Source organism: Homo sapiens, chromosome 12 (genome assembly GCF_000001405.40).
Source record: "Homo sapiens chromosome 12, GRCh38.p14 Primary Assembly".
NCBI classification, from domain to species: domain Eukaryota; kingdom Metazoa; phylum Chordata; class Mammalia; order Primates; family Hominidae; genus Homo; species Homo sapiens.
Genome location: NC_000012.12, coordinates 53,267,915 through 53,294,959, shown reverse-complemented (window position 1 = coordinate 53,294,959; position 27,045 = coordinate 53,267,915). Strand labels below are relative to the sequence as shown.

Below are 27,045 nucleotides of genomic sequence, written 5' to 3'. Positions count from 1 at the left end.
CTCATCACTGAACCAATTCTTCCCCTCTCGCTATAACCATCTTCCCCCAGCCGGAAGTAGGCTGACACGTAGTAGGATCTGAAAAAGGGTTTATCACCCGTTGCCAGTGAGGTGGTGGGAGAACAGCAAGGAAGCGCCATTGTCAACCAAGTACAGCACAAATTAATCAATAAAATATTTTGGCCGGGCATGGTGGCTCACGCCTGCAATCCCAGCACTTTGGGAGGCCGAGAAGGACAGATTGCTTGAGCCCAGGAGTTTGAGACCAGCTTGGGCAACACGGCGACACCCCGTCTCCACAAAAAATACAAAAATTAGCCGGGCTGGTGGCACACGCCTGTAGTCCCAGCTACATGGGAGGCTGAGGTGGGAGGATCGCTTGAGCTGGAGAGTTGAGGCTGCAGTAGGCTGTGATTGTGCACACTAGCAACAGAGCTAGACTCTGTCTCAAAAAAAAAAAGGTTTTACCATGTGCTGTATGTGAGGGATACGTGAGAGTGTAAGATACTTGCTTCCCTTGAGCTTAACAATTGGAGAGAAAAACCACACTAGAACTCCACAGATCCACAGACTCTACTGCTAAAGTTACACATTGGTAAGTGTAACAGGTGTACATGGGCAGACAGCAGTAGCCTTTAACATCTACTTAGGAGGCAGGCAGGGCAACTGAGGCATTAAAACTAGTGCCATGGCTGGGCGCGGTGGCTCACGCCTGTAATCCCAGCACTTTGGGAGGCTGAGGAGGGTGGATCACAAGGTCAGGAGTTCGAGACCAGCCTGGCCAATATGGTGAAACCCTGTCTCTACTAAAAATGCAAAAATTAGTGGGACGTGGCGGCATGTGCCTGTAGTTCCAGCTACTCAGGAGGCTGAGGCAGGAGAATCGCTTGAACCCAGCAGGCAGAGGTTGCAGTGAGCCGAGATTGCGCCACTGCACTCCAGCATGGGCAACAGAGCAAGACTCTGTCTCAAAAAAAAACAAAAACAAAAAACAAAACACTAGTGCCACTCCAAAGATACCTGCGGCAGGAAGACAGGACGGACGGATGGTACCTGGCCAAAACACTCTCAAAGGGTCTATCACTACCCTTCCTTGGGCCTGTCTCTACTTAGCATTTTGATGCCCCTTTCTCCTCCAGATTTGTCTGCTGAGGCCCAGCCAGGCCCAGCAGGCTTTGTCCTGTGTCTTTGCCTTTCTTCCCCAAGCACTCAAACTTGATCTGCTGTAACCTGTTCCTGTCAGCTTACAGTACCACATAGTAGGAAGGGGGCAGTCATGCCGTGTCTTTAAATGTTCTCAGATAAACTACGCAAAACAGGGTTTAAATGATGTATCTTTATTATACTGAGGTTAAATCAAAAGGAAATGTTTCATATAAAACACTGGGGAAAATCACTTTAAAAGAGTTATCCTAAGGATTAAATCTAACCTTGGAGGTAGAACAGTTATGAGGCTTCTAGCATCAATAAGACAGCTCCATGGGGTTACCGCAGAGAGACAGGCAAGCCATAGGCTATAGGTGCAGCCCCAATAAGATACTTGAGTCGGGGAGCTTGGCGGGCCTGGTTTACATAGTAGAGAAGGGGGGCCCCTGGGCCTGCTCCAAGCCAGCCTTGCAGCAGAGCTTCCGTGTAGCGGTCAATGTCGCGGTCAGTCACATCCCAGAGATTACCCAGAAACAAGGGGCTGGGAAAAGAAAAGGAGGAAATACAAAGTAAGGGCTCTAAAACAGAATACATAGGAAAACACCATTGGTGGTGGGGGTGGGTGAGTGGAGAGGATTGAACCAATGAGAAACTCCTTTGGCCCTTGGTTACAAGAGAAGAACAGAAGGGAGCTAAGGGTTAATGGTCCAGGCATGCCAGGGAACTAACTAGGATAGGAGGAAAATGGGGCACAAGAGAGGCAAGATTCAGACCTGGGAAAGAACCTGGGGTGAGGGCAGGAGTCCTAATGCCCTAGGATGGGTCTTGCCCTTGGAGACTCACCAACCAGCCATGATGTACTTGAGCACGATGCCAGCCCCCTCCAGGTTTCCACGCACAGCCAGGGCCGCACTGCTACAGCCAAACAGCAGGGCCACTGCCCGACAGCTCAGCCGCAGGACAGCCTGCCCATCAAGGAAGCGGGCACCAGCCCCATGCCCTGCATAGCTAAGGCAGAAGGAGGTGAGATGAGTCTTGAGCTAGTAATACCTGGCCTCTGCCTGTGTCTTCAGAGGCTCTCAAGTCCCAAAGCAACCCATGGTGATACCATCCTCAGGACTGCCCCTCTCCCCACATCCCTGCCTTAAGCACTCACATATACAAATCATGCTTTGTCAGGGCTTCCTGCACCTGTTCAGGTCTTGGCACCTCCCCAACCACTCCTCTCCAGCCAGCTTCACTGCAGGGAAAAGGCAGGTGTGAGAATAGGGAAATGCATGGCAGGGGTCAGGTGGCAAAGACAGCAGAGGGATCATTAGATAGAAGGTGGGCTGCAACAGCTGTTTCTGGAGAAAAGGCTTGTTGCCCCTGTATGTTGTCTACCCTTCCCCACACGTCTTCTTGTCTTCGCGCCCCTGACCTGCTGAAATTGGCTCGAAATTGCTCCTCTGTGCTTGACAGGTTATTGTGAGGGTTCAGGACATAGAAGGTACTTCGTGGATCCACCCCTTGACTCAGCACTGGCGAGGCCCCATACTGAGGAGGAGACACTGGCGATTAGGATGCTTGTCTCACCAAGAGGCCCAAGCTCTAACAATCTCAGCCCCTTTCCATGTCTGAGCCATTCCTAGGACCCTCTCCTATCTTCTCAGGTTTCTCTGCCCTTCTTTGTTGACGTCTTCCCCAGTCGCCAGTCATCCCCAGACACTACGCCCTGAACCCCACCTCTTTGATGATGGAGTAGCTGAGTAGGAAGCGGAAGGAGGGCAGCCGGGTGACAGGCAGTGCTTGGAGGCTGGGCATGCTTTCCCACGGCAGCTTCTGCAAGTCCTGGGCAAAAAGCACTAAGAGGTTACTGTCCCCAGCCAGGTATATGCAGAAGTCAGAAGGGGCATGGGGATGAGTTGGTATTCACTCCCCACTAGACACTGCCCCTCTGCCCCAGCTCCTTACCTTGTCTAGGACCAAGACAAGGTGGCTATTGCTTGGTACTGTCAGGCCCTGTAGACGTCCTACTGCCTCATTCAGGAGCTCCTGGGCTCGCTCTGGCTGGGTTGGGCACAGCCCGTAGGCCAGGGCCTGAATGTCCTGAGGGGTGAGGGCACCGGCACCACTGAGCATGATCTGCAGGGAAACAGTGGTGGTGAGCACCATCTTCATTCATGATAGCTGCTGGGAAAGGATTAAGTCCAGTTTCTTCCCTTTCCCTGTTTTCTTTTTTTTTTGACAGAGTCTTGCTCTGTCGCCCAGGCTGGAGTGCAGTGGCGCAATCTCAGCTCACTGCAACCTCCACCTCCCAGGTTCAAGCGATTCTCCTGCCTCAGCCTCCTGAGTAGCTCGGACTACAGGCATGTGCCACCAAGCCCAGCTAATTTTTGTATTTTTAGTAGAGATGGGGTTTCACCCTGTTGGCCAGGATGGTCTTCACCTCTTGACCTTGTGACCCACCTGCCTCGGCCTCCCAAAGTGCTGGGATTATAGGCGTAAGCCAAGGGGCCTATCCTTTTTTTTTTTTTTGAGATGGAGTCTCACTCTGTCACCCAGGCTGGAGTGCGGCGATCTCAGCTCACTGCAACCTCCGCCTCCCAGGTTCAAGCAATTCTCCTGCTACAGCCTCCCGAGAAGCTGGAATTACAGGTGCCTGCCACCATGCCCAGCTAATTTTTGTATTTTCGTAGAGACAGGGTTTCACCATGTTGGCCAGGCTGGTCTCGAGCTCCTGAGCTCAAGCAATCCATCTGCCTTGGCCTCCCAAAGTGCTGGGATTACAGGTGCAAGCCACTGGGCCTGGCCCCCTTCCCTGCTTTCCTCACTCACTTTCAGCAGAGTGCGGTCAGGATATTTCCAGCCACAGTCCTGTAGCAGCTCCTGTAGGCGGGAGGCCTCCTGGGCAGGGCCGGGCTCCTCACTGGACGGCAGCAGCAGCCCCTTCCAGCAGCCCAGCACAGACTTCTCTAGGGAAGCGATGAGAACCTGAATGCAGAGGGCAGACCCTTCAGTCAGAGAGGAAACCAAGCTTCTTTCTCACAGGCACTGACATTTTGGAGATGAGAAAATGCGTTTTCCAATGTGCATGTCTGTCTTACGTATCTTTCTGCTGGGAAGCTGATAGTTGGGTTTAAGTCGTTTTTTTTCTGCGTATCTTTAAATATCCATTCCCATATATTCTTCAAGTTCTGGGCTCTGAAGTTCTCCCCAGGTGACATATTTTTAAATTTAGGTCTACACTTCCAGAAGGGATTTGAAGTGGCTTTAGCACTGACCCAGGCCGTCTGGTAGAGAAGTCACTGGGACCCCCCGGGTCATTCCTAGAGCAGGCCTGACCCCACCCCAGAAGCACACACCTCCATCCTGTGGTCCAGTGCCAGCCGCCCTGTCCACCATTCTCGCTTGTCAGTACAGCTGCTGTTCTCTTTCTGTGCCTTCTGGATGGCATCAAACTCATTCAGGACTGAACGCAGATGAAGCTTTGGGAGATGGGGCTGTGAGAGCTCTGCTTGTCCACGTGATCACCATCTCTCCCTCCCTCAACACAGAATGTGAGCAGCTTGACCCGAAGCCCAATCCAGCCCAACTTTGCTCCATGGCCCAGGAATCCTACCTTGTTCTGGCCAGTGGGAATCTGCACACTGACTGGGGGACTGTCCTTTTCCAGCCGGGTCAGCAGGAGGGTGTTGCCCACGGTTCCGGGCTGGAGGGTGGCCAGGGCCAACACACACACAGTCACCCCTGACACACAGGATACAGCCAGACTCATTCAGCTGTTAAAGGAATTCCCTTCCCTGTCTTGGGCACTCAATTCCTATCCATCACTCAAGCCAGCATCAAGAAGCCTTCCCTGGTCACTAGAGGTCAAGGTGCTCTCCCTTGCTCTAATAGCTCCCTGTGCACAGAGACCATGACTTGTACTTTGTGTCCCTCACAGCAACTAACAAAGTGAGGCACTCAAATCATGTGAATATGTTTCATGTTAGCACAGAAGACCCCAGTCATCTGAACTCACCTCTGAGGAAAGACACTGAATTTGCTGGTAATTCAAAGTTGAGGTTTAAAAAAAACAACAAACCTTCCTGATGTAAGATGCTAACAGGTGAAAAGGTATGACATAAGGGTCATAAATCTATGTAAACTAACCAATGCCTAAAACTCCTTCACCCAGCTCCCAAGTAAGAAGATGCAGAAGAGGACAGAGGAGCCGGCCAGAAGGCTGCCCGCATACCACTGGGGATCAGAGCCAGGCGCTCCTGGAAACTCTCCTTTTCAGGCTGGGGGAAGTGGCCAGATTCCAAAGCCCTGAAGGAAAAGAGGCGCTGGATGCGGGCCAGGGGGACATCTCCAGGCATCTCCTGAAGGCTCAGCCCCTGCAGCTGGTCTGCTATTTCAAGTGATCCTCGGTGCTTCTGGGCCTTGCTGCAAGCAACACGGGGAGGGGTGAGGTCCCATTCCTTCAAAGTCTGGACCTTCTCTCTAGTCTGCCCCAGCAGGAGTCTTGGGGATGGTCAGCACCCACCTGAGCTGTCTGTGGAGGTGGGTGAGCAGCTGGTGGCGACAGGTGATGGAGACAGACTCGGTGACAAGGAAAGCAGTGGCATAAGGATCCCGGTGGCCCAGGCACAAGGCCAGGAAGCGGCAGAGGTGGGCATAGAGCCCACTAGGAGGACAGTGACTAATGCCCCGGAAAGCAACACTCAGGGAGTCACAGATGGAGTCCAGGGTAGAAAGACCTAGAAGAACGTCAGGACACTTGGTACAGCTGAATTCCTTATTTCATAGTTGATAGGAACTTTCCAAGAAGGAACAGTCCCTATCTCATCTCCCACATGGCAAACAGCAACTACCATTTATGAAGGGCAATGTGCCAAGTGGGGTGCCATGCAACTAACAGGCATCAACTTATTCCACCATGCTCCCTAAACCCCATTTTTACAGAAGGAATAGAAGCTTGGAGAGGTTAAGTGACCTGCACACAGCTCATAGACAGAGTGCTGGGGTTCAAACACAGGTTCAGAGGCTACTGGATCCAGATCCGAACCCAGCCTGGAAAGACAGAGGGGTCAAAAGCCCTAGAGGCTCAGCCCTCTCCAAGTGACCAACATCAGGGGTCGCATATTCACCAGTGGCTACGGGGGCTGAGGGGAGCCGGAGCCGAGGACCAAGGTCCTTGTCACTCTCCTTGTCTGGGCATGGGCTGGGCAGCTTCTTCTTGCTGGAATCCAGCCTCAGCAGCTCCCATTCTCCAGAAGCTGCCTCAGGGCCCGGAGCTGGAGTCTTCCCACCTGGGGAGAGAGCAGGCCTTTTTCACAGTGCTCCCTCCCCCTGCCATTCTCTTTGTTCTTCCTTCTGTAATCCACTCCCTTAGAGTCAGCAAAAGAACATTCTTCCTGTACTTCCTTGGCAGCACTTACTGCTTGTGCTTTGCCCCAGAACAAACCCCCAAAACATGCACCTTCCACCTCACCCTTGCTGTCCTACCTGAGGCTGAGTCTTCCCCGTCAGAGCCCCTGAGGATCTCAAAGCTCATTTTTCTCCAGTTGTCAGTCAGTTCTTCCTCAGGGATGGTCCTCATGATCTCAGGGCCAGGCCTGGCCTGGTCACTGGCCCTCTGGGGACGCCGCTCCTCACAATGTCTTGATGCCACCTTCTTGGCCCTCCGGCTCCTGCCATTCAGGCCAGGGTTCCCAGGGGCACTACCTGGGGCAACCACGGCATCCGTCTTTAGGCTCAGGCCCTTCCTTGCTCGCCCCCGGCCCCGGGAAGCAGTGCCCCGTCTCTTAGGCTCCTCTGCCAGCCAGGCCTCAGCTGAGACAGGGTCTTCCAAGTCACTGTCATCACTGAAGTTCACCTGAGATCAGAGTGAAAGGGTGAAGGGCTAAGAGGTCTTCAGTGACAAGACACCTTGTGACAGCAGGTGGCGTAGTGGAGGCACCATCAGGCACCATCACACAGGACCCTGGAAGATTTCAGAACTAACTTCTCACATGACAGCCAACACTCTAGATCAGGGGCAGCGACTCTTGGGTGTGGAAGGAGGGAGAAAATGAGGGAACAGAAGGTGGGATGAAAAGGTAAAAGAAACATTAGAGTTAAGGAAAATGTCTCTGTCTGAAACAAAGGGAGACTTGGAAATAGGTCTTGCTGTGAAAGATGTTGGCCTGGCACAGTGGCTCACGTCTGTAATCCCAGCACTTTGGGAGGCTGAGGCAGGCGGATCACCTGAGGTCAGGAGTTTGAGACCAGCCTGGCCATCATGGTAAAACCCCGTCTTTACTAAAAATACATAAATAAGCTGGGTGTGGTGGCACCCGCCTGTAATCCCAGCTACTCGGGAGGCTGAGGCAAAATTGCTTGAACCCGGGAGGTGGAGGTTGCAGTAAGCCGAGATCGCACCATTGTACTCCAGCCTGGGCGACAGAGTGAGAGTCCGTCTCAAAAAAAAAAAGAGGCTGAGCATGGTGGCTCACGCCGGTAATCCCCAGCACTTTGGGAGGCCGAGGCGGGTGGATCACGAAGTCAGGAGATCAAGACCATCCTGGTTAACACAGTGAAACCCCGTCTCTACTGAAAATACAAAAAATTAGCTGGGCATGGTGGCAGGCGCTTGTAGTCCCAGCTACTCGGGAAGCTGAGGCAGGAGAATGGCGTGAACCCAAGAGGCGGAGCTTGCAGTGAGCTGAGATTGCGCCACTGCACTCCAGCCTGGGCGACAGAGCGAGACTCCTTCTCAAAAAAACAACAAAAAACAAAAAAGCAAGATATTGGGGTACTGCAGATAGCAGGAGATTAAAGTTCCACTAGGCCCTGGGGAGCTATTCCACAGGGACACCTGCTCTATAAAACACTCTCCTCCAGGACTAACCCCATCCAACACCATCACCACCACCTAGCAACAGTCCCACCTCACCTTGAGGCGCGTCTGGACTCTCTGTTGTACCCTGGGGGCCTGGGGTACTTCAGGCTTGCTCTCTGTAGGGCAGACTTCCTCAAACACCGTGAAGGGGACATGAGGGCCAGCTTGCCTGATCCGGTCTGGGGGTTTAGGTGTGCAGGGCAGTCCTCTACCTTCCAGACCTTTCTGAGAGGTATTATTGAGGCGCAGGGGAGCAGAGGCTAACTTTTGGCGCCCTCGTCCAGAACGTTTTTGGCCCTGAGTCTTAGAGGGCTCTGAGCCAGGGACACTTTTTATTAATGGTGGCTGCCAGCCCCAGGAGCTTGCAAAAAGTTGGGTAGTACAGCAGCTGAGGCCACCTAGTTTTGTGAGGGCCCAAATCAAGAGCAGGCTGGCTCGCCAGGGCTCTAGGTGGGGTATCCGTGCTGCTACAAACTTCAGCCCTGACTGTAGAACCTTCTGCAGGCTCTCGTTTGATGGCTGGTTCAGGCCCTCCAGTGCCAACAGTGTGTATGCTTGAGCCAAGATCTCATCCAAGAGGCTTGGAACCAAGGAGGGGGGTGTTTTATGATTCAGGGAAGCTTGGAGAGCTTGGGTGAGGCGCTCAGCGGCTTCAGGACAGCCCTTCAGCACGACCTGCAGCAGATCCAGACCCTGGGCTTGGTGGCCCATGGCCAGCCTCACCCCTGCCGTGACCAATACCCAGCGCAGACAGACTGCTGTGAGGACAGGGCTGGCGCAGAGCGAGCAGTCACAGGTGGGTGAATGGGACAGGAAGTTGGGTATGGGCTGGGGCTTGGTTTTCAAGACTGGGGAGGAGTTTGTAGAAGGTGCTATGGGGCCAGGCTCCTTGGCCACAGTGGCCACCAGCTCTAGAGCAGGGCCTCTTAGGAAGAGCTCCTCCTCTGGGAGCTGTGGAGGACAGGGGACCTGGGCCTGCTGCTTCCCCTTCTGCAGGTGGACCTTCTTCACAGAGTCCAGGTGCTGAGTCACCCCACCAAACTCTGGGGAGAAGGCAGAACAAGAATTACAAAACGGGGAGAAATGGCATCAAGCACTTCCTGAGCGACCTTGGGGCCCAATTCTCTAATATATGTGTTTTATATACGTACGTGTATATATATGTGTGTATATATATGTATTACTGTATAACATATCAAATATTAGTATGGCTTATTATTTTTTAGGTAAAATCTTTTTCTTTTTTTCTTTTTTTTTTGAGATGGAGTCTCTCTCTGTCGCCCAGGCTGGAGTGCAGTGGCACAATCTCAGCTCACTGCAAGCTCCGCCTCCCGGGTTCATGCCATTCTCCTGCCTCAGCCTCCCGAGTAGCTGGGACTACAGGCGCCCACCACCACGCCCGGCTAATTTTTTGTATTTTTTAGTGGAGACGGGGTTTCACCGTGTTAGCCAGAATGGTCTCGATCTCCTGACCTTGTGATCCGCCCGCCTTGGAGGTAAAATTTTTGTTTTCTTTCCAACCAACAATGGATCAAATGCAGGCCACAAAGCCCCCACACCTGCAGCTCAGGGGCCACATGGCTGAGAAAAGCAGGCTGGCCCCAGCAGGCCCACACCTGAATCCTGCCTCCTACCCTGTGATGCTGGCCCCAAACATAGACTTCTCAACTTTCTCATTTAACAAATGAAAATAATCTATGCTCCCACTCAGCTTTATGAGGTCTAGTGTGGGGCAAATGAAGTACTAGAAGTATATGTGATTGGGGAGACAAAATGTGCCATCAATGCAATGTTTTATTATTAGCTTCAGCCCTCCTGAGGATATGTTTGTGCTACTCAATACGGTAGCCACTAGCCATGTGGCTATTGAGCACATGAAGTGTGGCTAGTGTGACTGAGGACTGAATTCTAAATATTATCTTTCTTTCTTTCTTTCTTCTTTTTTTTTTTTTTTTTGAGTCAGAGTCTCGCACTGTCACCCGGGCTGGAGTGCAATGGTGCAATCTTCCTCACTGCAACCTCCGCCTCCCAGGTTCAAGCTATTCTCCTGCCTCAGCCTTCTGAGTAGCTGGGATTACAGGTGCCCGCCACCATGCCTGGCTAATTTTTGTATTATTAGTAGAGATGGGGTTTCACTTTGTTGGCCAGGCTGGTCTTGAACTCCTGACCCCATGATCCGCCTGCCTCAGCCTCCCAAAGTGCTAGGATTACAGGCATGAGCCACCGAGCCCGGCCCTAAATATTATCTAAATCAAATTTAAATAGCCAAAATGTATTAGGAAGCACTGAAAACTAGAACTAGGGTAAGTCTGGGACAGGCTCTCTGAAAGAGGGAGACCAATGGTTGGACTAAAGTCAAGGGAATGTTGCCCTGGGACCAGAAGTCAGTATCTGATTAAAAAGGGAACAAAGGCCGGGAGCGGTGGCTCATGCCTGTAATCCCAGCACTTTAGGAGGCCGAGGCGGGTGGATCACCTGAGGTCAGGAGTTCGAGACCAGCCTGGCCAACATAGTGAAACCTCATCTCTACTACAAATAAAAAAAATTATCCGGGTGTGGTGGCGCATGCCTGTAGTCCCAGCTACTTGGGAGGCTGAAGCAGGAGAATCACCTGAACCTAGGAGGCAGGAGGCAGGGGTTGCAGTGAGCCAAGATCACGCCACTGCACTCCAGCCTGGGTAATAAAGTGAGACTCTGTCTCAAAAATAAAAAAAGGCAACGAAACCTTTACATAGAAAGATGTGCTGTAGTGTGTGTCATTTCAGCACCGCCTATGGTCATGGGGACATGGCTGCTCACCTGTGCAAGACTCAAGCAAGAACAGAACCTGCTGCAGGTCCGACTGACAGAGATCAATGTCATTGCGGGCCAGCTCCAGCTCGCCCTTCAGCACCAGGAACAGGGCACACCTTGTTGAGAGAGGAGAGGAGAACCAATCAGAGGAATCCTTTGTTTTCCTGGAGAGTCTTTCTCTTTGCCTCTTTCCCAGGCCAAGCTACCTGAGTCCTTCCCTGCCTCCAAAAGGCATTCACTCCCTTAAGCTGACTTAAAGGCTCCCTGGGGAAAACCCTCTACACTTCTCTCTAATCCCAACTCTCCTTGTGCCTTGGGACAGGATTTCCCAAACTGCATTCCTCAATAAAAGAATCCTGTGGGAAAACATTCTTAGGGAAACACTGTACACTAGATCTCCCTTTTGGAGATTTGCAAGGCACATCCGCATACTGAAGGACACGAGAGTCCTACAGGAAATAAAAACATCTAACCTTGATTAACTCAGCATTTCCCACTTATTTAGCTGTGGAATGCCTTTTTCCACGAATGTATCTAAACATAGCATGTAATCTGTGGAACAGTTTGGAATCCATGTTCAAGGGTGCATGGCACTTTGGTGCCATCATTGCCATATCCTCTGGCCCTGTACTTACTGGCGTGGTATCTGCAGCTTTGTTGTAAGTTTTAGGGCCTCCAAGCAAAAGGCCTTGGCTTCACTCACACTACCCAGGCGGCCCAGGTGGCAGACCAGCTTCTCTGAGCAGCTCAGCACCTCTGAAAGAACCTGCCATTTTTGTACCAGATTTTCACCTGTAGCAAAAGAGACAAGACCACCATCACTCAGCCACAGTGTGGATCCTCTGGAGAAAAAACCGCAGCCCTCTCACATAGCCTGTCCATTCCAAGAGGGCCCTGCTGTCCTCCCCAGACTCACCATAGTCCAAAAACGATGTCTCCACAGCTGCTTTCTGAGTTGAGAGAATGTCACTGCCCATCAGCAGGAGGATGATGCTTCGGAGGAGCTTATGGGAGTCTATGAGAGCTATCTCAGGTGTCTGCCAGCCTGTGGTGGGTGGGGTGAAAAAGGGAGAAGATGCAGCCAGAACTTCACCACTTTTAGCTACTAAGGCAGCAAAGCCTGCTTCCCATGCTTCCTTCTGCATTAAGGCAGGCAGAGCTAATCAATCTCATAACTCCTTCCCTCTGAGATCCCCTGGGGTCTCAGAATCCTTTCAGCTGGCTGGGCGCAGTGGCCCAAGCCTGTAATCCCAGCATTTTGGGAGGCTGAGGCAGACGGATCACCCGAGGTCAGGAGTTTGAGACCAGCCTGGCCAACATGGTGAAACCCCACCTCTACTAATAATACAAAAATTAGTCGGGCGTAGTGGCGCATGCCAGTAATCCCAGCTACTCAGGAGGTTGAGGCAGGAGAATCGTTTGAACCCAGGAGGCAGAGGTTGCAGTGAGCTGAGATTGCACCATTGCACTCCAGCCTGGGTGACAACAGCGAAACTCCGTCTTAGAAAAAAAAGAAAAGAAAAAAAAATCCTTTCAGCCTAGTATTCCAGGCAGTCACCAATTGTTTAGAGTCAGCAGGCAAACTGAAACCCATCTGCTATCCCAGGCCTACTCTGTGCAGGTTCTAGGTAGGCTGGGCCACATAGTTAGCCAGCAGAGGGGATGAGGTTTGAGAAGAGCTGACAGCAGACAGACCATACATGTCATCCAAGGGGGGCCATCCACCCTATTCTTTCACCTTGGGCACAGAGCTGCTCCCACAGGGAGTGTGAGAGGTTGTTTGACGGGAGGCTAAGGTAAGCTGCCACCAGCTGCAGGACCTGGACACGCAGCAAGTACCAAGCCTTGGAGGACTTCTGGAGGGCAGGATCCCGAAGCACAGACAGCAGCAGAGAGACACCCTTGGTCACCTGAAGGAGAGAAGGAGCCAGAGGAGGCAGTAAGGCAGTCAGGCACTCCAGAGCTTGAGAGGCCCTGGAGATTACGTGGCCCCATCCCTGAAGGCCCTGGGTATTAGAAAGATTTTAGAATTTTCTGAATATTTGCCTGGCTTTCGAGATCTCCCTGGACCTAGGCAGAATGTTCCTGACCCTGAGAAGCAGTAACAGTTCCTAGCTTTGCCCTCACCAGTGACTTGTCCGCCAATTTAGGAATGATAAAAACGTAGAGAAGAAACTAGAGCATGAGAAGGTAGAAGACGTGCCCAAGTCACACAACTAGTTTGGGAGAAAACTCAAGTCTTTGCCATCCCCTGGATTTCTAGTCCAGAGCTCCCATGCCTTCCCAGGATCACCATTGTCCCAGCTTTTCGTCACAGGACAGACTTTCCCCCTTGCCCCTGAAGAAGGAAAAGGACTGTATCTCTACCAGAGGAGGACTGGTGAGCAAATCGCTGGCGAGGGCAAGGCTAGGAAATATGCCTGCCTCTCAGGGTCAGGAACATACTGCCTAGCTCCAGGGAAATCTCAAAAGCCAGGCAAATATCAAGAAAATCCTAAATTCTTTCTAATACCCAGGGCCTTCGGAGTTTAAGAAAGTGAGAAATACCTTCTGGTGAGTCCAGTAGAGTTGACTTCGAAGCAGATCACAGGTCAGGGAAAGGAGCAGGTATGTGTCAGTAGTCTGATCGAGATGCTTCAGGCTCGATGCTGCCTCTTCCAGGTGTAACTAAGGAAGCAATCAGAGGGCACATGAGGAAAGGCAGCCAGGCTCTTCAAACAAAACTGGAGTAAATAAGGGTGGCCATGTGGCTCACACCTGTAATCCCAGCACTTTGGGAGGCCAAGGTGGGCGGATCACCTGAGGTCAGGAGTTCAAGACCAGCCTGGCCAACATGGTGACACCCCCATCTCTACTAAAAATACAAAAATTAGCCAGGTGTGGTGGCACGCGCCTGTAATCCCAGCTACTCGGGAGGCTGAGGCATGAGAATCACTTGAACCCGAGAGGCAGAGGTTGCAGTGAATGGAGATCGCGCCACTGCACTCCAGCCTGGGCAACAGAGTGAGACTCCGTCTCAAAAAAAAAAAAAAAAAAAAAGTGGAGTAAAGTATTTACAAGCAAAATGTTCAACATGTCCAATAAATATTACATTATTTCAGATATTATAATCTGCATAGGAGTTATTGATTCACTCTCTAAAATGTCCATTTAACACTTGGTTAACCACTTTTTTTTTTTTAGGACGGAGTTTCGCTCTTGTTGCCCAGGCTGGAGTGCAATGGTGTGATCTCAGCTCACCGCAACCTCCGCCTCCCGGGATCAAGTGCTCTCCTGTCTCAGCCTCCCAGGTAGCTGGGATTACGGGCATGCGCCACCATACCTGGCTAATTTTGTATTTTTAGTAGAGACGGGGTTTCTCCATGTTGGTCAGGCTGGTCTCCAACTCCTGACCTCAGGTGATCTGCCCACCTCAGCCTCCCAAAATGCTGGGATTACACGTGTGAGCCACTGCGCTCAGCCTGGTTAACCACTTTTAGATTAAAGCTATATACAGAGTAAGCAGTAGCTGGGCACGGTGGCTCATGCCTGTATTATCAGTACTTTGGGAGGCTGAGGTGGGAGATCACTTGAGCCCAGGAGTTCAAGACCAGCCTGGGCAACATAGTGAGACTCTGTCTCTACAAAACATTTAAAAATTAGCCAGGTGTGGTGGCATGTACCTGTAGTCCCAGTTACTCGGGAGGGTGACGTGGAAGTGGAAATGGAAATGGAAATGGAAATGACACCACTAAAAACAGAATGCTATAAACAGAATGATGTCTTCTGTTTCCAAAGTCAATATACTAGAGTGATGCAAAAATAGTAAGAGTGAGATATTTTGTGGCAAAGTTATCCAGGGGTAAACACTGCAGCCGTAAGCGCTGGCAAGTATTATTGGGGCAAAAGGGAACAGGGTTAAGCAGGAAAGAGATTACATCACACCTGTGCCTACCAGTGGTCGTTAAGAAGACGAAGTAGAAAAGGGAGAAACTGGAGGCAAGGAGACCAACCAGGAGACACTGTGATAGCTTTACATGAGCAATGAAGCATCAACTAGGGCAACAGAACCAGTTAGGAAATACAAGACTGGCGGTAGGTTCCTGCAGCAGTCTGTAAACTTAATGAACAACTGGTTTTGCAGGAAGGACAAAGATGACTCCCCTTCTTACAGCTGCCTCCAACTGCTCCACACTCCACAATTCTCCAGCCAGTTGTGGTGGTAAAAGGCCGAGAAGCTGCCCCTTTGATATCCTGTCTTCTCAGAGGTGGGCCTCTAAAGCTACGGGCCCCCTGCAGTCCCCAGACTAGGCTGGTTGGGCACTCACCTGGGCATAGCTGGGACAGCCGAGGGTCAGGAGGAGCTGGGTGATGTGGCAGGAGGAGCCAGCTGCCTTCGAGTGGTCCTTCAGTCTCTCAGAGACAATCCGTAGCAGCAGGAGGACCTCCAGAGCCTGCATGGGCTGGTCAGCAGAAGCAGCCAAGTTTACTCCACCCCTGCTCAAGCCTCTATTTCTACCCTCTGCTCCCCAGCCCTTTGGGACCTTGGACTGTAGTTTGACCTCAGGGCCTGGGTGGAATGTAGTTACCCAGATGAAGCAATCATCACCCCACCCCTACTGTTTTAAAGCCTAGATGCCATTCATCATCAATAGCCAGGATTTTCTGAGTTCTTACTATGTGCCAGGCACTGTGCCCAGGCTTACATGCATCAGTGCATTTAACCTTCATAACAAGTCTAATCCCAATTTTACAGTACAGGAAGCTAAGACTCACATGGGTTAAGTTGCTTGTCTAAGTTCATATAACAGGTATGTGGCAGAACCAAGTCTCAAATCTAGGGCTGAGGTAGCTTCCCCTGCTAGAAATATGGTTTAATAGCTCATAGTTAACAGCATGTATAAAGGCTTTTTGTTTGTTTGTTTGTTTCCTAATGTGGAGTCTAGGGTAGAGCTTCAGGAATTTTGTGAAACTCCCTGAAATAAGAATGTACATGGCCTTATAGGCCAGGCACAGTGGCTCATGCCTGTAACCCCAGCACTTTGAAAGGCTGAGGCAGACGGGTCACCTGAGATCAGGAGTTCGAGATCAGCCTGGCCAACATAGTGAAACCCCATCTCTACCAATAATACAAAATTAGCAGGGTGTGGTGGTATGCGCCTGTAGTCCCAGCTACTCAGGAGGCTGAGTGAGCCAGGAGAATCGCTTGAACCCAGGAGGTGGAGGTTGCAGTGAGCTGAGATCACGCCACTGCACTCCAGCCTGGGTAACAGAGCAAGACTCTATCTCGGCGGGGGGGCGGGGCGGAAAGCTGGGTGCGGTGGCTCACGCCTGTAATCCCAGCACTTTGGGAGGCTGAGGCGGGTGGATCACCTGAGGAGATCGAGACCGGCCTGGCCAATATGGTGAAACCCTGTCTATACTAAAAATACAAAAAAGTAGCCAGGCGTGGTTGCGTGCCTGTAGTCCCAGCTACTCAGGAGGCTGAGGCAGGAGAATCACTTGAACCCAGATGGCGGAAGTTGCAGTGAGCCCAGATTGCGCCACTGCACTCCAGCCTGGGCGACAGAGTGAGACTCCATCTTGAAAAAAAAAAAGAAGGCACACATAAGAATGTAAGAATGTAAAATTGTGTCTAAAGGCATCTATGTATTTTTCTGATAGGTAACAAATCATCTAATAATTAAAGCTAACTTTTTTTTTTTTAATGAAATAGCGTGAAACAGCATCTTGCTCTGTCCCCCAGGATGGAGTGCAGTGGCGCGATCTTGGCTCACTGCAACCTCTACCTCCTGGCTCAAGGGATTCTCCTGCCTCAGCCACCTGAGTAGCTGGGATTACAGGCACATGCCACCGCACCGGGCTATATTTTTTTTATTTCTTGTAGAGACGGGGTTTCGCCGTGTTGCCCAGACTAAAGCTAACATTTGAGCATACCATTTACACAATACCTCTTCCATGCACTGCTGCACTGAATAATAACGCCACGAGGCAGTAGCATGGCCCCTATTTTAGAGATAAGGAAACTTGGGCTTAGGTTAAGCAACTTGCCCAAGGCCATACACTAATGAATGAGGGAGCTTGGATTTAAAATAAGACTGGTGATACAGCCCTGCGCTTCCATCACTGGCTTTCATGGCTTCTCAGGAGGATCACAGGCCAAAGAAGGCGAGGGAGCTGTTTCTGGTCTAGTCCTTGTTTATATGGGTCCCCCTCAATGCCCCACCCCATTACCTTTGCCACCAGCTGGTAGAGGGCTGCTAGGATCTGCAGTGAGGCTGCTGTCTGCTGGAGACACCGTACAGCTGGGGCCTGCCCCTTTGTAAGCAGCTCCTTCCACAGGGCCAGGGCTTGGTCCAGGCATTTGGACTGAGCTGTTAAGCCAGAAGAAAATGACTGCTGTCTCAGCATGGGCCATCTGGAGAGAACTTCCCTTCCTCCATAACATCCTCTGCCCTTTACGCCAACCTCCCACTGCTTCCACAACCTCCTACCCTACAAGGTCAGGGTTTCCCTCACCAGGGGTCCCTGTTCCACTCTTAGGAAGCCATGGAGATGCCCATGCCACACTCCATTTACCCCTCACCAGCATCTGCAGCCAGGTTGAAGGCAATGTTACTGTATAGGAAACGATCTTCCTGGAGTTTATCTTCATAGTTCAGGTCATTGACTTCAAATTCCTCCAAGTTACCAGGGGCCTGGGCTCTCCGATCCCGCTCGATACCCTGGATGGGAAGATCGGGGTATAAAACAGGGCACAGTGGTGTGGGCCTATCGTCCTGGCTACTCGGCAGGCTGAGGTGGGAGGATTGTTGGAGCCCAGGAGTTCAAGACCAGCCTGGGCAACAGAGAGACCCCATCTCTAAAAATAACGAACAAAAAAAAGGGCTGATACCAACTTGTTGGGGGCCCAGGGACAGTAATTCCTACACCCAGTTCTGGTGAGCCCCACAGCAGCCACACTCACTTCCTGCATTTTGGCTTCCAGAGTACAGATGTAAAGCCACAGCAAGGCCTGTGCTTTATCGTCCAGAAGCTGATCTCTGGCCTGGGCCTCAGGCCTCACAGAGTCCAGAAGCTGCAGGGCTTCCCGGATAGCATCCAGAGCAGAGCTGCAGGGAGAAGATGTGCTTAAGCTGGGCCTACTATGAGTATCTGCCATAGCGCCCTGGGAAGGGCTAGCTGCAGAACAGCTGGCCTCGCCCTTTGCATGTGCTCCCATGGCCACAAGATGAAGGGAGAGCTCAGGGCTGTGGAGAGGGAAACTGGTTCTCAAGAGGGTGAGAGGACCTAGGGCAAGGAGCAAGAGTGGCCTCTGCAGCTACTACTCCTTACCAGTTGGTCTGCTGCGTAAAGTCGTGGTAGCAGAGCACCTGAGCCAGTTCTACCAGGTGGGTGGCTCGTGCCCAGGCCCCGGCTGGTGTCTCCTCGGGGCTCAGCTCCAGGAGGTCACAGATGATGTTGAAGCGTTCCTGTCCAGTGTCGGCCCGCACCGCCTTGTAGGCCTGCAGCTCCTCCCTCAGCAGGAGGGCCAGGGTCTCCGGGTCCCAGCCACTGAGGCTGTCTCGCAGAGTCCTGAGAGAGGGCATGCTCAGCACCAGGGTGGAACCCAGGAGGCATAAAGCCTCTGCTACCTGCTCCCATGCTGAGGAGCCCCAGCCTTGGCTTGCTCAGTAGGTTTCCAGTCATGGCTTTAAAAATTTAAATCAGATTGCATTGCTCCTCTGTTTAACAAACGGCAGTGGGCTCCCACTAGGAATCATTTCCAAAGCCCTGACCATGGCCTATAAGGCCCTGTGTGATCTGGCCGCTTCCCACTTTGACCACCTTCATTCCATATGGTTCCCCATCCTATACCGCTATTCTACTACCCCCAGCATGCCGGCTTTCTCAAGCATGGTCCCAAGTTTGTTCCCACTTTGCAACCTTTGTATTTACTACTCTCTCTGCAAGGAATTCTCTTCCCTGAGTTTTTTGTTTGTTTTTTTTTAGACAGTCTCACTCTGTTGCCCAGGCTGGAGTGCAATAGCGTGATCACGGTTCACTACAGCCTTGATCTTCCAGGCTCATGTGATCCTCCCACTTCAGCCTCCTAACCAAGTGTAAATAGACTATAGGTTCATGCCACCACATTCGGCTAATATTTTTTAAGTAGAGTCAAGGTCTCGCTTTGTTGCCCAGGCTCCCTGAGATCTTTACAAAGTAGATTCCTTCACATCCTCAGGTCTCATCTATCACTTCTTCAAAAAGGGTTTTCCTAAATAACCCACCTCAAGTTGCTCCCTCTTTTAGCAAATCAGTTTAATTGTCTTCATAGAGCATACGTGAAGGCTGGGCGCACTGGCTCATGCCTGTAATCCTAGCACTTTGGGAGGCCAAGGTGGAAGGATCACTTGAGCTCAGGAGTTCAAGACCAGCCTAGGCAACATAGTGAGACCTTGTCTCTATTAAAAAAAAAAAAAAAAAAAGGAACAGACACAAAATGCAAAATGTACTTTTTAAAAATATCTCCCCAAGTAGAATATAAGCTCCATGAAAGCAAGACCACTGTCACCACTATACCCCCCAAGTAGCACAGTGGCTAGCATACAGTGGGCACTCAATGAATAACTAATGAATGAAGGAATTAGTATTTTTCAGACATAAAGATGAAAGGACATGACCATGAGTACCAAAAGCCACCCTATCCATGGGAGAAACATGGTTGACCCCCTCCCCAACTCACTTTTTTTTTGAGATGGAGTCTCCCTCTGTCACCCAGGCTGGAGTGCAGTGGCACGATCTCGGCTCACTGCAACCTCCGCCTCCCGGGTTCACGCCATTCTCCTGCCTCAGCCTCCCGAGTAGCTGGGACTACAGGCACCCGCCACCACGCCCAGCTAATTTTTGTATTTTTAGTAGAGATGGGGTTTCACCGTATTAGCCAGGATGGTCTCGATCTCCTGACCTCATGATCTGCCCGCCTCGGCCTCCCAAAGTGCTGGGATTACATGTGTGCTGGGATTACATGTGTGAGCCACTGTGCACGGCCAATGCCCAGCTAATTTTTGTATTTGTAGTAGAGACGGGGTTTCACCATGTTGGCCATGGTCTCAAACTCCTGACCTCAAGTGATCCACCCGCCTCGGCTTCCCAAAGTGCTGGGATTACAAGCATGAGCCACTGCGTCTGGCCCTCAACTCACTTTAGCTGTAGCTCCTTGTCTCCAGCCCTGGCCGCATCCATCTTGACCCGAACCCAGAAAGTGACTGGCTCAGCCATGTGTTCAGGGCTACAGGGTTGCAGGGCTGCCAGCCACAAAATCACCATCTTGCAGCCCTGGGCCTGTTTACCCAGTTTCTTCAAACTCTCTACTTGTAGCCGGAAGCACCTGTGCAACTGACCAGAGAAAGGGAACAGACCAAACTGGAGAGGAACCAGTGAGTGTGTATGGTGGAAGGGGATATGCATGCAATAGGTACATACACCACATGAGGGGGCGGGGTTGGCAGGTGGGCCTCCTGAGCCACACCCACCCAAGGCAGGAGACACCTAAGAATGAAATACTCTGAGTGCCTTCAACTCAGAGGCTGCAATCCACTCCACCCCTATGTTCATCATCCACACCCTTGAAAACCTGCTTCTCCTGTAATCCTTCTCAGCAAATGGCACTGCCTTCTCCTGAGTAAGAAATGTGGGGCCATCTCTGATGTTCCCTTCTCTCGCTCTCCCTCCCGCCAGTCACCTACCAGGTTAATCCTTGGCTTCTCGCACCGATCCACTGCATTCCATCCCTCGTGCAGCTGCTTCAGTTCAGCCCACCCTTCCCTGCCTAGAATACTATAGCAGCCTGATTACCCGGTCTTTTCTCCTGCACTCCATTCATCACAGCGAAGTCAGGGAAATCCAAAATGCCTGTCTGCTGTCATGCCTCCACTTAAATCCTTTAGAGGCTTATCATCTCAGTTAAGATGAAACCCAAGCCCCTCTATGACTCATCTTGCTTGCCAATCCCGCCAATGCATCAGTTCACAGGTATTCTTGCTTAAGAACACTGGTTCTTGCCCAGCGCGGTGGCTTGCGCCGGTAATCCCAGCACTTTGGGAGGCCGAGGCGGGTGGATCATGAGGTCAGGAGTTCAAGACCAGCCCGGCCAAGATGATGAAACCCCCGTCTCTACTAAAAATACAAAAATTAGCCAGGCATGGTGGCGCATGCCTATAATCCCAGCTACTCAGGAGGCTGAGGCAGAGAATTGCTTGAACCCAGGAGGTGGAGGTTGCAGTGAGCCGAGATCGTGCCACTGCACTCCAGCCTGGGTGACAAAGCAAGAGCAAGACTCAGTCTCCAAAAAAAAAAAAAAAAAAAAAAAAAAAAAACCAAAAAACCAAGAACCCAGGTTCTCACTCTCCTTGCTCAAAGGACCACCTGGGGGATCTTTGAAAATATTCAGATGTGAGATGGAGTCTTGCTCTGTAGCCCAGGCTGGAGTACAGTAGCACAATCTCGGCTCACTGCAAACTCCACCTCCTGGGTTCAGGCAATTCTCCTGCCTCAGCCTCCAAAGTAGCTGGGATTACAGGCACATGCCACCACGCCTGGCTAATGTTTGTATTTTCAGTAGAGACGGGGTTTCACCATGTTGGACAGGCTGGTCTCAAACTCCAGACCTCAGGTGATCCACCTGCCTCAGCCTCCCAAAGTGCTGGAATTATAGGCGTGAGCCATCACGCCCGGCAAACACTAGAGATTCTGATGCAATTAACTCGGGGCAGACATTAGAATTTTCTTAAAGGTCACTCAGGTGATTCTAATGTGCAGCTTGGCTGGAAACCAGTAGCTTAGGACCAGGCTAAATATAAAAAGTGAGTCAGGCCGGCTGCGGTGGCTCACACCTGTAATCCCAGCACTTTGGGAGGCTGAGGCAGGCGGATCACCTGAGGTCTGGAGTTTGAGACCAGCCTGGCCAACCAAAATGGTGAAACCCCGTCTCTACAAAAAATACAAAAATTAGCTGGGCGTGGTGGTGGGCACCTGTAATCCCAGCTACTTGGGAGGCTGAGGCAGGAGAATTGCTTGAACCTTTGCTGAGGCAAAGGTTGCAGTGAGCCAAGATTGTGCCACTGCACTCCAGCCTGGGCGACAGAGCGAGACTCGTCTCAAAAAAAAAAAAAAAAAAAAATGAGTCAACAGTAAGTAACAGTACAGTGAGGTTTGGGAAACACTGCTCCAGATACTGGTGTCAACATGCTGCTATTAACCTCCCACTCCAAGGCAGGGTGCTGGTGAGGCCCTTCCCCGCTCCCCCCGCTCCCCAACCACATAAGCTCCTTTCCTGCATCTCTCATTCCCTTGTACCTTCTCAGGAGGCACCTCGGGATAAGTGCCTGGCTTCACCAAACCCAGGTGCTGACAGAGCGGCTCAGAGATGGCACAGGCCTCGGCATAGAGCTTGTGACTATAGAAGCTGTAGGCCAAATTACTGGTGTAAGAAGCTGCAGGGGAGAAAAGGCACAATTGACCATAGGAAAGGCTCCCACCACCCTCTCCTCCTGGAGAGGCAGCAGAGATCAGCTGGATCTGTGGTCAGTTCAGCAGCTTCCAGATCAGACAGGAACCCCTACTGCTAGGAATGGGGAAGGGGCGGCTCTCCCCTTCCTGCCCCAAATAGGCCCATGCCCTTCACACCACTCAGCCCATCTGCACTCATTTTACAAACGAGACCCCCTCCTGCCTCAGCACTGGCTGTTTCTTCTGCCAGGGATGTTCTTTTCCAGGAACCCACATGGCTGACTCCCTCACATCCTCCAAGCCTTTGCTCATGTCACCCTCTCAATGAGGTCTACCCTGACCACCTGATTTAAGGTGGTAACTTGCCCCCCGTCATGCACCTTAGACTCCCAATTCCCTTTCTTATCCTGCTCTACTTTTCCTTTCCCCCACATTTCTTATCACGTTCTAATATGTTGATAATTCACTTATTTACTGAATCTGTTTATCTTTTCCCCCCAAACTAGAACGTGGCTCCATGAGGGAAGGAAACTTTGTTTTGCTTACCGACACATCCAAGTACTCCAAATAGTGCGTTGCACACAGTGAGTACTCAACAAATTTTTTTTTTTTTTTTTTGAGACAGAGTCTTGCTCTGTCGCTCAGACTGGAGAGCAGTGGCACGATCTTGGCTCACTGCAAGCTCCACCTCCCGGGTTCACACCATTCTCCTGCCTCAGCCTCCTGAGTAGCTGGGAGTACAGGCGCCTGCCACCACGCCCGGCTAATTTTTTGTATTTTTAGTAGAGACGGGGTTTCACTGTTAGCCAGGATGGTCTCGATCTCCTGACCTCGTTATCCGCCCGCCTCGGCCTCCCAAAGTGCTGGGATTACAGGCGTGAGCCACTGCGCCCGGCAACAAATATTTGCTGAATAAATGATAATAACTTATTTATGCAGCTTCTTGGCCATCAACATAGATGACTGGGAGAAAATAAAGTCAGTCTTCAGTACTCTGTGGGAAGAATTCTCCTTTTTTTTTGAGATGGAGTTTCGCTCTTGTTGCCCAGGCTGGAGTGCCCTCTTGCCCAGGCTGGAGTGCAGTGGTGCAATCTTGGCTCACTGCAACCTCCACCTTGCAGGTTCAAGCGACTCTCCTGCCTCAGCCTACCAAGTAGCTGGGATTACAGGCATGCACCACCTTGCCTGGCTAGTTTTCTATTTTTAGTAGAGACAGGGTTTCAGGGAAGCCAAGGTGGGCAGATCACTCGAGTCCAGGAGTTCAAGACCAGCCTGGACAATATGGCCAGACATCATCTCTACAAAAAATACAAAAATTAGCCAGGCATAGTGGTGCGCGCCTGCAGTCCCAGCTACTTGGGAGGCTGAGGCAGGAGAGTCGCTTGAACCTGCAAGGTGAGCTCGTTGCGGGGCTGAGGTGGGAGGATCGCTTGAGCCTGGGAGGTTGAGACTGTGTTGAGCCGTGATTGTGCCAGTGCACTCCAGCCTAGGTGACAGAGCAAGACCTTGTCTCAAAAAAAAAAAAAAAAAAACACTTAAATATACAGAAAGGTCATTTGTAATGATTTCTGGATTCTGATAAGTGAAGAAAAGGAAAAAAAAACATTAAAAAATATAGAAATAAAAAAATATGTTGAAAGGTCATAAGGTTGCATATTAGGTGCAACTGTTAATGCCAAGTTAGATTCCAGTCGAGGAAATAGTGTCTGCTGTTGTAAGTTAGCTTCATCACTTCTCTACTGGTGTTAAACACAGAGTAGCTGGTACTTATAAACATTTCTCTCACTGCCTCCTTGAACCATAAGGAACCCTCACAGTGGTCAGAACCACGCAGCAAGTACTATTCACCTGCCTAATGGGTGATGACCCTCCCACAAACTCTGTGCCTGGGACCCAGGGCACTAACCGGTCATCCCCATGTGGTCCGTCAGCTCTTGGCCCGACAGGCCCTCTAAGGCCTCCAGCATCCAGACAACGGTAGATTTACAACTGTCCACTAGTTGGGTCAGGTCAGCCAAATCAACTATCTGAAGGGACAAGAAGGGTTTGAGAGTGAGGAGTCATGCTGGGTCCAAGATGACCTCCACCGCACTCCACACCCAAAGCCAAGCAACCCCAAAGCTGTTTGAGGGCAGTGGAGCAACCCCAAAGCTGTTTGAGGGCAGTGGAGCAACCCCAAACCCTATGAGCCTAGTCCAGGTACCTTGATTCCCAGACAGTACCTGACAGCCTTGGGCAAAGTCATAAACCACCACAGTGTAGAGGTGAAGTCCCTGAAAGTACATCTGAAGAAAAGACTGCTGTTGCTTGGAGGAGCCCCCATACACCTGAGGAAGGAAGCGGAAGGTTGGTATGAGGAGTAGAGATAAAGAGGGCTCCAAGCTGAAGACTGACCCGGAGTCCTGGAGAGCTGACAGAGCCCAGGGAGCACGAGGAAGGACATCCAGAAGGGCCACTGCCCTCTCAGGATAGACTAGGCTGTTTGCTGGCTCGCTAGGCACTGTCCAGAGAGCAGCTTAACAAGGAGGGAGCCAGGACCTCCAGATCTTGCCAAATACCCTAGGCTGGTAGTGAGTCCACAGACCACGTCCCCACCCTACCTCCAGGTCCTTAACTCACACCATCATCCCGCAGCTGCTGCAGAAGAGAGCAGTACCCTCCAAGAAAAGCAAAGAGGCTCAGAATGGCATCAAGTCTATAGCGCCTCTTGGTGCCTCGTTCCAGGCCTGAAAGGAAGAACTGGCAGCTCTCATACAATGCCCGAAGTGGGGGTGATGGTGCCTCCATACTCTTGCTCAGGACAGCTGATGCCTTGATCAGAAGCTTGGCCACTGCCTGAGGTCCTTCCTCCCCAACCTGCAGCAGCTTAACCCCCAGCTGACATAGCTGAAGGCTAGGGGCTAGATTGGTGTTCCTTAGGTAACTGTGAGCCTTCTCCACTGCGCTGATGGCTTTGTCATGGTGGCGGCTCCAGCAAAAGCGACGGCAGTGTTCCAAGGTGAGCTCCAAGAGGCAGAGGGCCCTCTGGGGAGAAAGAAGCCCAGAAGAGCTCCCTCTCTCACCCACCAAGGCTCTGATCACGTGCCTGGAGAGCAGGTCATCTAGGAAATCAGCATCTGCTTCATTTAGACCATGGCCACTGGCATCAAATAGCTGATGGGCAGCTACCGCTCGACAGGCTGTTGGAGAAGCAAAGTGAGGAACCTCACAAGGGGTACTTTCATCCTCCAAGAGTACTAGGAAGCTCAAGGCCTTCAGCCGAGCTGCAAATGCAGCTCGCCGTTCCAACAGGGCTTCTGCCCCCTTCCAAAGCAGAGAAAAGCTGCCCCGAGCCACGGCCTCATAGTCCTGGGGAGCAGCCTCGCGAGAGCACTGCACCAAGCAGGCATGGAGGGGCTGAGCAAGGCGGAGTGTGGCCTCTGGGCTTCCTTGTGCAGCAGCATTCCGCAGTAAGACAAAGAGAATTCGTTCCAGGTAGAGGGGAGGACGCTGTGGGGTAGACACTAAGTAGCCATCACAGGCCAGCTCTGCCAGCTCCAGCAGGCTCCCCAGATGCCTAGGGCAAGCTAGCTTAGCAGTCAGCTGCTGGTTGCAAGCCCTCAGGATGGCATCACAAGCTTGTCTCCTCTCAGCATCAGATCGGCTGCTGGGAAAACCAGCTGGAGGGTTGGACAGGAACTCCTAGGAGTAGAGAAAGATATGAATGGGGCTAGCAAAGGCAGGAAAGAGGTAGAGAAAGTAACTAGAAATAGGGTTACTCAGAGAGGGTCGCCTACTTATCCATCTCTTCAAAAGGCAAACACAAAACAGCTCAGTTTGGAAAGCCAGGTGTATCCCGAGCCAGGCAGCACCCCCACCTTCAAGGCGGGCAGCAACTCTTCAGCCTCCTTCTGGCTGCTTAGCAGAGTCCCAAAGTTGACTCTTTTGAAGCTCCTCATGACACCGGAGAGCTAGGGAAAAGGAGACCAATTAGAGAAGATTGTTAATGAAGCTAACTGGAGGAAGGGAAGAGGGCTGAAGGTCGTGGAAGGAGGCAAAGAATCACATCAGAAATTTCATCGGGGAGAAAACCCACGCCAGGACGCCGTGCTCCCGTTATAAAAGGACGATTCCGCTCTTCCTTCCTCCGGGCAGATCCCCGACCGCACTACCACACCACTCGCCGCGCTACCCCAGAGGCCTCGGCCCAGCCCTTCAGCGGCCCGGGGCAGTCCCAAGGCCTCCCGACACTCCCTCCAGGAGCCACCCACGCCTCTCCTCGCGTCAGCGCTGGGGATCCCCTTCACTTCAGCACGTACCCACGCTCACGAGTCCCTTCCGGCCTTACCGCCCCAGAGCTCGCCCTCTTTCCTAGGTACAGGACTTAACCGCCTGACCAGTACTCCGCGAGGATCCAAAATGTAACCTTCGTTTTCCGCGCCAGACCCTCCTTTCAAATATCCGCGGCTGCCAATCAGCGGGCGCGGCGCAACGCCGGGCGCGCGGCACGCTGGGAGTTGTAGTTTACCCGCCGCGCTGCGCGCTCCCGCGGCGCCCCGGAGGGTCTTGCTGCTCTGCGCGTTAGGGCCTCTTGGGGGTGCGGGTTTCCCCCTTTTTTCCAGTCAGAGCTCAGTTTCTCAGCTACCTGTCGCTTAGTCGCTATCGGTAATGCCACCCCTTTTCCTCCTTTATCTTCAGAGCTCAGGCAAGAGTTTAAGTTTCAAGAGAAGAGAAATAACAAAAAGAACTTAGGAACTCACGCGGTTTGGGTTACTAGAAAAAAAGGGCTTAGACTTCTACGAATTTTTTTT

At 51.7% G+C, this 27,045-nt stretch overlaps 1 protein-coding gene across 5 annotated transcripts, besides 5 other annotated features; it reads right to left on the bottom strand.

The window, feature by feature from the left end:
- Positions 1,322–26,661, bottom strand: ESPL1 (extra spindle pole bodies like 1, separase). Of its 5 annotated transcripts, none has more exons than XM_006719705.4 (31): positions 26,554–26,661; positions 26,113–26,205; positions 24,875–25,936; positions 24,478–24,582; positions 24,162–24,282; positions 22,103–22,239; positions 19,950–20,143; positions 18,101–18,340; positions 17,733–17,877; positions 17,352–17,490; positions 17,000–17,139; positions 15,094–15,228; positions 13,334–13,453; positions 12,525–12,696; positions 11,703–11,831; positions 11,422–11,578; positions 10,793–10,902; positions 8,048–9,036; positions 6,619–6,988; positions 6,261–6,422; positions 5,657–5,870; positions 5,366–5,556; positions 4,748–4,875; positions 4,491–4,613; positions 3,964–4,119; positions 3,100–3,270; positions 2,872–2,976; positions 2,567–2,682; positions 2,303–2,386; positions 1,990–2,154; positions 1,322–1,687 (listed from the first exon to the last, which is right to left on the bottom strand). In XM_006719705.4, exons 2-31 carry the CDS (start codon positions 26,191–26,193, stop codon positions 1,486–1,488), a joined length of 6,363 nt encoding a protein of 2,120 aa, XP_006719768.1. In that variant the 5' UTR covers positions 26,194–26,205; positions 26,554–26,661; the 3' UTR covers positions 1,322–1,485. The 5 variants fall into 5 exon arrangements, with proteins under 5 accessions (XP_006719768.1, NP_036423.4, XP_011537326.1 ...); NM_012291.5 differs by having other exon boundaries at positions 26,583–26,661; XM_011539024.3 differs by having other exon boundaries at positions 26,331–26,555.
- Positions 3,996–4,497: an enhancer, noted in NCBI's record as "H3K4me1 hESC enhancer chr12:53684247-53684748 (GRCh37/hg19 assembly coordinates)". NCBI's record gives its function as "activates a minimal SCP1, AML or CMV promoter by ChIP-STARR-seq in naive H9 embryonic stem cells {active_cell/tissue: H9 hESC(naive)}" and the evidence as "EXISTENCE:reporter gene assay evidence [ECO:0000049][PMID:30033119]".
- Positions 17,715–18,215: an enhancer, noted in NCBI's record as "H3K4me1 hESC enhancer chr12:53670529-53671029 (GRCh37/hg19 assembly coordinates)". NCBI's record gives its function as "activates a minimal SCP1, AML or CMV promoter by ChIP-STARR-seq in primed H9 embryonic stem cells {active_cell/tissue: H9 hESC(primed)}" and the evidence as "EXISTENCE:reporter gene assay evidence [ECO:0000049][PMID:30033119]".
- Positions 18,216–18,716: an enhancer, noted in NCBI's record as "H3K4me1 hESC enhancer chr12:53670028-53670528 (GRCh37/hg19 assembly coordinates)". NCBI's record gives its function as "activates a minimal SCP1, AML or CMV promoter by ChIP-STARR-seq in naive H9 embryonic stem cells {active_cell/tissue: H9 hESC(naive)}" and the evidence as "EXISTENCE:reporter gene assay evidence [ECO:0000049][PMID:30033119]".
- Positions 26,215–26,294: an enhancer, noted in NCBI's record as "active region_6408". NCBI's record gives its function as "activates an Ori minimal core promoter by ATAC-STARR-seq in GM12878 lymphoblastoid cells {active_cell/tissue: GM12878}" and the evidence as "EXISTENCE:reporter gene assay evidence [ECO:0000049][PMID:35858748]".
- Positions 26,355–26,724: an enhancer, noted in NCBI's record as "active region_6407". NCBI's record gives its function as "activates an Ori minimal core promoter by ATAC-STARR-seq in GM12878 lymphoblastoid cells {active_cell/tissue: GM12878}" and the evidence as "EXISTENCE:reporter gene assay evidence [ECO:0000049][PMID:35858748]".